The 8,776-nt window shown below is 45.9% G+C and overlaps 1 annotated feature.

Moving 5' to 3' along the window:
* Positions 764–903: an enhancer, noted in NCBI's record as "active region_26595". NCBI's record gives its function as "activates an Ori minimal core promoter by ATAC-STARR-seq in GM12878 lymphoblastoid cells {active_cell/tissue: GM12878}" and the evidence as "EXISTENCE:reporter gene assay evidence [ECO:0000049][PMID:35858748]".

Here is an 8,776-nt window from a genome sequence, read left to right as displayed (position 1 = left end):
ACAGTCACATTGCATTCGAGGCTTCCTAATGGAAACATGTTTCCCAGAGAATGTGCATTCTTTGAGTTGGTAGGAGTCTATTTGGTCATTGCTATGCTCCTAGCTCATAGCCTGGTGTCTAGCTCAAAGTTTTTTAAATGAAAAATTTAAACATACAGAAAAGTGTGCAATACTATAGTGAACTACAATATACCCATCACCTAGATTTAATAATTATTATTTTCCATATTTGCTTCATTAATTATTTTGGCAAAAACATTTTAAAGTGTATTGCACACATCATGACATTTTATCCCTACTTTGGTGCTTCCCAAAAAATAAGGAAGAATTTCTGTGTAACTGCAAGACCATTATCACACAATAATAATTCCCTAACATCGTGAAAGCTAGTCTATACAAAATTTCCCCAAATATCTCCCTCTTCCACTATAGACCTCCTTAAACAAAATAATGAAAAATGAATAAACCACAAATTTTAGTGGATGTTTTCATACCTCCATCAGGACATCAGTGGCAGTATTTGGGAAGTTTTAAAAGGTGGTCTTTATAGCATCTCTTCCTCCAGTCAACAAACACACAGTCTTATATGTTTGTGAGATACATAACACACTATGCCTAAAACTTAGTGGCTTAACCCAAGACTATTTATTTAGCTCATAATTCTGTGGGTCCAGCAATATGGCCTGACTCATGCCTGTGGTGGCTGGCTGGCTATCAGCTAAGATGATGAGGGTAACTGGTCTAGCCTGGGCTTGTTTACATGGTGACAGCTGCTGGATTCCCTAGAGCAGCAAAAGATGGCAAACCCCAATGAGCAAGCACTTTTCAAGTCTCTGCTAACATCCTGTTTCCTGTTGACCAAAGCAAGTCACATGGTCAAACCCAGAGTAACTGGGAGATTACCCAACCCAGCAATAGAGGGAGGCACCACTAGATTGGGACCTTACTGTAATCAGCCCATCACGGGAAAGGGTGTCACACTGAACTTATGACAAGCTTAGCCAGCAGCAAGTATCAGCACAGGCAGCTAAGTGGCTACACAGAGAAAAGGGCAACTCAACAAGGGCAGGAAAGGATACAGAGAGGCCAAGTCAGCCAGAATGGAGCTTTGAGGAGTGAGAGAGAAAATCCTTGCAAAGAAAGGTAACAAGCAGCTGGGTTTTGAAAGGCCTTCGCAGACAGTGGGAGCCATTAAAGTCACCAGAGGAGATTCACGTGGTCGAGTCACCACTTTGGAAGATTCAACTGGCAGAGACATATAGGAAGGATTGCAAGGAATAAAACAAGGATTGCAAGAAATACAGGAAGGATTGCAAGAAATAAAAATCAAGGTGACAAATTATTAAAACTTACTTATTTGCCCATTTTTTCATGCATTCATTCATTGAACCAAGAGGCATACATTGAAGGCATACTGTGCACTGGGTACTATGCTAGATCCTAGAGATTCCAAAATGAGAAAGGTACAGCCCTGGAGCTCAGCAGTGACTCAGGAGCATGAGTGAGGGGTAGTGGGGAGACAGAAAAGACAGATTCAAAATAAATTTTGAAGAAAAGAACACCAACCCTCTTTGCCCTAGGGAAAAAGTGATCATATTTCCATACACTTTCCCATCTACAGCTCAATGCTGCTCGTAGAGACACAGAAGGAGTGGGTGAGACTAAGATGCTTCATGTGGACATGGTTGCTGAGGACACCCAGCTGCTGGTATTCAGCAGTTAACTGGGGCTACAGTCCAGGTAAGGGACCAAGGATAGAGACACAATCCAGGCACGCTCTGCAAGGACACAAAAGATGACTTCTTTTGAAATCAGGGTTGTGGGGACCAGCAGGCTCGGGCCAGTGAAACATTTTATAATCTGCAAGGATTTGAGCAGATCAGTACACAGTGAAGGGTGTGGAAAGGACAGAGTAGAGATGGGAGTTTGCTGGTGTGAAGATCAGAAAGAGCTCGGTGGAAGCCACATGCAATAGAGGGCACATTGGAGCTTAGCAGCCCATATAAGTGTGGGGAAAGAGTCCTGCAAGGGACAAAGCAAGAACAGTGACTTTCCCCTCCCTGTAATTATTTAATTGCCCAAATAATCATGTGCATTGCAGAAAATTAGAAAAGGCAGAGAAGCAAAGCCATGAGAAAAAGTCATCCCTCATCACACCACGCTGAGATAACCCCTGTTAATATGTTTGTGCTGATCTGCCTGGACTTGGTAACAGCCTCTTACATCCTCGGTTGGAAGCCAGCCTGGAAACCCTGAAGAAACAAATGACAGCCAAGAGGACAATGGCAACCAGCTCCCCCTCTGGGCGGCATGCTCTTTCTCTCACTTGGTTGGTCTTTCCCATTGGAGCGGAAGGACTCGAGCCATGATCCTTTGTAGAGCTGGACCCTGCCCAGGTACCCAGGGCTGCACAGGCATTTGGAGAGATGTTCTGGAGAAGCAGCAAGAAGCCTTGTGCCCTGCAGAAAGCTGTGATCTGACACATCCTGAGGCGTCCCAAGTCTCCAGCTCTACGTTTGTCCCTAAAGAGGTGTTTTGCCAGACTGCTTGCATAAGCACCTCTAGATAAGCCTCTAGCAGCAAGATTATGGCTCAGTAGGATTCACCACTTGCACCTGCAGCTGGAGTAGGAAAGAAGGCGGGCTTCAGAGCCGAGAATGCAAGCCCCTGGGAAGGCCCTGTGCACTCAGTGCTCTGCTGGGCCCTGGATGGTCCCACGGAAGTGAAAGTCACAATTCATGCCTTCGAGGAATCCATAGTCTTCCAGCAAAAATTTGGAAACAACTCAGAATCACCATGCAAATGTGGCTGTGATAGCAATTATCTGCCAGGGGGCTGCATGGCGTGGTGTCTTCCGGGCTGACCCTGGGGCTGCACTGCCTGGGTTTGAATCCTGGCTCTGCATAGTACTTTGGGTAATCGCTTGTGCTCTCTCTGCCTCCGTTGCTTCATTTGTCACAAAAGCATCACAGTACCCACTTATAGTGTTGTCATGAGAATCGTTTGGATTATTACAAGTAGAGTACTCTGCAAGTGTTCATTATGGATTAGAGCAGGGGCTTTTGAAGCACACGGCATAGTGGAGTTAGTCCGGAAGGCTGCCTGAAGAAGGCTCCTGCTTCGCATGAGCTAAGCAGTACAGCAGGGAAGGAGTCTGAATATGCCTGCTCAGCTGGGTGGAACACAGTGACCAGAAAAATCTATCCATCCTGCTTTTATGCAACCATCGGGCCTGAGGTCTGGTTGTCCCATTATGGCCTGTAATGGAGCCGAGGAGTCAGAGGATCTGTTTGCCCAGGGCCGAGGCAGCTTGTTGCATAACCAGGGTTGCTGTATGGCACTTTGCAGAGGAGGGCATGGCTGAGAAGTGTGTCCCAGCAGCCGGGAGCTCAGGGGGACTCTCCTGGCCTAAGCAGTGCAGCTCCCCAGCACCCACCTCCTACCCGCATGTGCCTCAGATGGGAATCATTGTCCTGTGCCAGGAGATATCATTTTCAAAAATAGAGTATCTTTTATTCTGATTAAACAAATAGTGAACATCATAGAAAACATCCAGAAAAGAGAATTAAAATTTCTTATTAATCCACTACCCTGAAATCATGAAAGTTTTATATTTTTGATACATGACTTTTCTCTCTCCCTTGTGTCTCTACGTTTGTATATATTTTTTACTATCAGAAATAGTATCATGTAGTACACAGTATTTTGCAAATGCCTTAAGTTTCTTTTCATGTCATTAAATATTCTTCCATGATGTAATTTACAACTCCTGCATTGTGTGAATATGCCATAAATTATTTAGTCAAACTCTATGAATGAAAATTTAGGTCATTTTCAATGATTTTTCTCTTTTATAAATAAGGCTCTCATGCATAATCTTATAGATAAATCTCTGCAAATACTCATGCTTATTTCCTTAAGATCATTTCTGAAAGCTGGGTTCACAGGCATGCAAATATTTATGGCCTTGGATGCCCACTGCAAGGGCTCTCGGATGAGACTCTCAGGGATGGCTTCCTTGCTCGATGACCTGAGAAGGCACAGCCTTGCGGGAAGCTGGGCAGAACTCTTCAAGCACCTTGGAGATTCCTCCAGTGCTGAAGTTAAATAGCTGGGACAAAGAAATGTGGGAGGGAGTAGAGTCAGGCAATATGAAGCCAGGAAGCTTAGATGCCTTTTGGAGAGTCAGGGAACCCAAGGATTACTGGTGGAACCCTGTGAATAATTCCACTGAGGTGAATGAGGTGCCTCAAAGAGGGAGAATCCAGAAAGGACAGACTCTTTTCAGCTCAAAAACCTGCTCGTAGGCCAGGCTGGATGACTCACACCTGCAATCCCAGCACTTTGCGAGGTTGAGGCGGGAGGATTGATTGAGCCCAGGAGTTTGAGACCAGCTTGGGCAATATAGTGAGACGTGGTCTCTAAAAAAAAGAAAATTACCTGGGTATGGTGGCATGAGCCTATGGTTCCAGCTACTTGGGAGGCTGAAGTGGGAAGATCGCTTCACCCTGGGACTTTGAGGCTGCAGTGAGCTGTGATCTTGCCATTGCACTCTAGCCTGGGCGACAGAGGGAGACCCTTTCTCAAAACAAACAAACAACACCTGCTTATAACTTTCAAGGGAGCCCTAGGTTTGCCCACACTTTTGGGCTGTGGTCTATCTCTCCCAGTAGGTTGAGCTCCCTGAGGGCAGGAATGTGTCCATTTTTCATCTCTGCACACCACACAGACAGCCCAGTGATGAAAGATATTTGTTGAGCTGACAGGACAAACTCCGCTCCACCTCACAGCCCCTGCACCTCTTCCTCCTGCATTTTCAGACCAAGGCTCCAGGCATCTTAATATCTGGCTAAGTGTACATTGGAGCATCCTTTCTGGAGGACACTTGGGCAAGGTGCAGTAAAGACCTTAAAACATGCATACCTGTTGACCAGCTATTTCACCCCTCCTAAAAATAATCCAAGATCTCCGGGAACTGCCTCCTGCCTCCTTACATCCTGGACCTTGGCATCCTTGACATTAGGACAAGGGCATCACCTGCCCCGTTACCCATACTCCGCTCTTCCTTGATGCATGGTTAAAATACTCCCTCCTCTAGCAAGCCTGCCCCGACTCCCAGCCAGACCTCTTCTCTACTGCGTGTTAGAGTTAGTTACATGCATGACCTGTCTGAACTTCCAAACCTCAATCTATTTGAGGGCAGGTAGGCAGAATCTGTATCTGTTTTATCTTTATCCCTTTCTGCACCTCGCTGAGTGCAAAGCCAATAGCAGTTTCAGAAAGTTTAATGAAAGGGCACACTTAGAGAAAGCCTTTCGGTCACACCCAGCAGGGCTGTGAAACTGCATCCTTGGCCTGCTGACAATGACATTAGGAATGAGCTATAGAATTGCACAGTCTTCGTAGCAGCAACAGGATTTTCAACCCCACTTTTCAGAATCGCAGTCTAAAATTTAGTGGAGCAAATGGAGGCTGGAAGGGGTGAGGGGTGTTAGCCAAACACACACAGATGCTCTGGAATCCATGTGATCTGATAGTAAGTTCCAGGCTCAGTTCCTGAGCTAACTTGCTTTTCATTTATTTTGTAATACAAATATGCATTCTTTACAATAAGATCTAGCATGCAGAACTTTTGGTTTTTGGGTTCTTTTTTTTTTTTTTTTTGAGACGGAGTTTTGCCCTTGTCGCCCAGGCTGGAGTGTAATGGAGTGATCTTGGCTCACTGCAACCTCCACCTCCTGGGTTCAAGTGATTCTGCTGCCTCAGCCTCCTGAGTAGCTGGAATTACAGGCACCCGCCACCATGCCTGGCTAATTTTTGTATTTTTAGTAGAGACAAGACTTCACCATGCTGGCCAGGCTGGTCTCGAACTCCCAACCTCAGGTGATCCACTCACCTTGGCCTCCCAAAGTGCTGGGATTACAGGCGTGAGCCATCATGCCCAGCCGGTTTTTCTTTTAGAAGAGGTCTCTCTCTGTTGCCCAGACTGGAGTGCAGTGGCAAGATCGCAGCTCACTGCCTCTTCAACCTCCCATGCTCTGTCTCTCCTCCCAACTCAGCCTCCCGAATAGCTAGGACCATATGTGTATGTCACCACACTTAGCTAATTAATTAATTAATTAATTAATTTATTTATTTATTTTTGGTAGAGACAGGGGGGTCTCCCTATGTTGCCCAGGTGTTCTTGAACTCCTGGGCTCAAGCAATGCTCTCACCTTGGCCTCTTAAAGTGCTGAGATTATAGGCGCAAACCTCCGTGCCTGGCCAAAGGCTGTAAATATATGCAGAGTTCCTATGAAACTCCCCTGAGTTTCAGGGAGGATTTAATTAAGTACAATTTGATTCAAAAGAGCCAGCCTCCTGAAACAGGATTTTATGAGAGATGGAAAAGAGCCACTGTCCTGACACTTGTCAAAGACTGGGAGGACAGGCGGGCCCTGGCATCTTCTTTTTCACATCCCCAAAAGCAGCACCTTTCTATTGATAAGAACTGAATTCTTATTGGTAACATAGTTAATTACTAATGGTAAATGTCCACTTTCTGACAAGGAGAACTACTGAGAGAGCTAACGCAGGCCATGCAGGTGGAAGACACCAGCTGCAGTCAACCCTGCATGGTGGGTTGCAGCACTCCAATGTTGGAAATGAGAAAATTGAGGCTCAGAGAGGTGAATCAACCTGCTTACACTTACCCAGCAGAGCCCAGACACTAGGCTTAGTCAGTCTTACTGAGAAGTCACGGTTCTTTCCCCTCTCCCAGTGAGTCTCACTCTGGCTACGCATCAGAGGCTCCCGGTGCCCAGGTCTCAGTCCAGCCCAATAAAACTAGAATCGCTGGGCTTTGTGACAGGCATTCAATTTGTTTTGTTTGTTTGGTTGGGTTTTTTTTTTTTTGAGACTGTGTCTTGTTCTGTTGCCCAGGCTGAAGTACAGCAGCTTGATCACGGCTCACTGTAGCCCCAACCTCCCAGGCTCAGGTGATCCTCCCACCTCAGCCTCCCGTGCCACCACCCTCAGCTAATTTTTTGTAGAGATGGGGTTTTACTATGTTGTCCAGGCTAGTCTTGAACTCCTAGGCTCAAGGGATCCACTCACCTCGACCTCCCAAAGTGCTGGGATTATAGGCATGAGCCACCACGCCGGGCCAGCATTCATATTTTTAAAAAGCTCTCTCGGTGCTGTAATGAGCAACTAGAGTTGAGAGGCCTTTACCTCTAGGCTTCTGAACTCACAGGGAGCACTGACTGACAGATGTGATAGAGACTCCCACCCGGGAGCTGTCAAGGCAGATGCTGCCCTGGGCACCACCACGCCTCAATTAAGACAGAAACGCTGGGGGTGGGATCTGCACATTCACATATATACTTTAAAGCCCCTCTGGTGATTCTGAAATGCAGCCAGTGTTGAGAATTAGAGCTCAAAGGCTTAAACCAAATTGCTTCTTCAGGCCTTCCCCTTAGGTAGCCAACTAGCCCCCAACCTGACTAGGGCAGTGCCTGGGGTCCCATTTAAGCTGTGGGGAGTGAGGGTGGAGGAGAAAAATAATCAATATTTGACAATCCAGTATGCAAAGTTGTCATCAAATGTTCAAAAACAATTCCTGATCTCAAGTCAATTGAGTGGCTCCCAGCAAGTTTGTTGATAAATTTACTTGACATCATCTTCCTTTACAGAAAAAGCAAAATACACTTTAGTCTTTGCTTAGGAAAGTGATTTTTGAAAATGTCATGAATGGGGTCCAGATGAATGAGGTTCACTGTGGAAACAAAGGGGACTTGGCGGACAGGTAGAGAATGGAATCTTACCGTGCATCTATTACACACAGCATCTGTATGCAAAGCGGGCAAGAACTGCTGAAGGGGAAAACAAAAGAAGTTTAACATTCGATGCATAAAGGAGGGCAAGTGAACCCAGGGCAGAGAGCCTGGGAAGGAAGACGGGCTGGGGGCTGGGGAAGCCGGGGAACTGTACAGGATGGATTGAGCCTGTTTCTTTTGGATGATGCCCAGGCTCTGCTATACCAGCTGTGTCTGACCTTGGCAGGGCCTGCATGCCCCTCCTCTCTCCTTCCTCCTTCCCTCCCCTGCCAGTGGTGCTACCTCAGCCTCCCTCCTCCTGAAAGGCCTGGGTATCCTCTCTTTAGGAGAGCACAAGAATTGCTGGGGAACGATAATTACAGACAAAATCTCTCAACTCAGAAAACCTCTTCACAAAGGTTGAAAAGAAAGAAAACAGTTTTATTATTGCACAAGCATTCAACCAGAATGGGACGCGCATGCCAGGTGATCTGCGAAGAGATTGCAAAGACAGAAAGGAGTCTTACCTTTTGTCCAGCCAAGCAGCTCCAATCTGTTACATACGTGTTCTCACGTTAAACAATAACTAGTTTTCAGGGGACTAGTTCTATTTGTCACACATAGTTCATTCTAAAGTCTCCTGGTTATTGGAGTGGCCATCTGTGTTTGCTAATTGCCTTTATCCAAAGGAAAAATAAACTTCTTATTTCTTTATGGCAAAAGGTAGTTTTGCAAGTTGGAGCTGAAGTTAGGCTCCTATGCTTCTCTAGAGACTAGAAGATGGGGAGCTATGTTCCTTGATGATTACCTTTCAAAGGGATGATTCCCAGGTCCTTGGAGAAAGACATACCTGGGTCCTAAAGTTGGCAAGAGGCTTATTTAGCTTTTCAAAAGATTTACATACATTTAAAAGAGACAGAGAAAGAACTACTGATTACAGGTTTCCAAAAGTAAGTGCTCTAGGAAAAGGAAGTGAGATG

Source organism: Homo sapiens, chromosome 7 (assembly GCF_000001405.40).
Source record: "Homo sapiens chromosome 7, GRCh38.p14 Primary Assembly".
In the NCBI taxonomy this organism is placed as follows: domain Eukaryota; kingdom Metazoa; phylum Chordata; class Mammalia; order Primates; family Hominidae; genus Homo; species Homo sapiens.
This window is presented reverse-complemented; position numbering and strand designations above follow the sequence as displayed.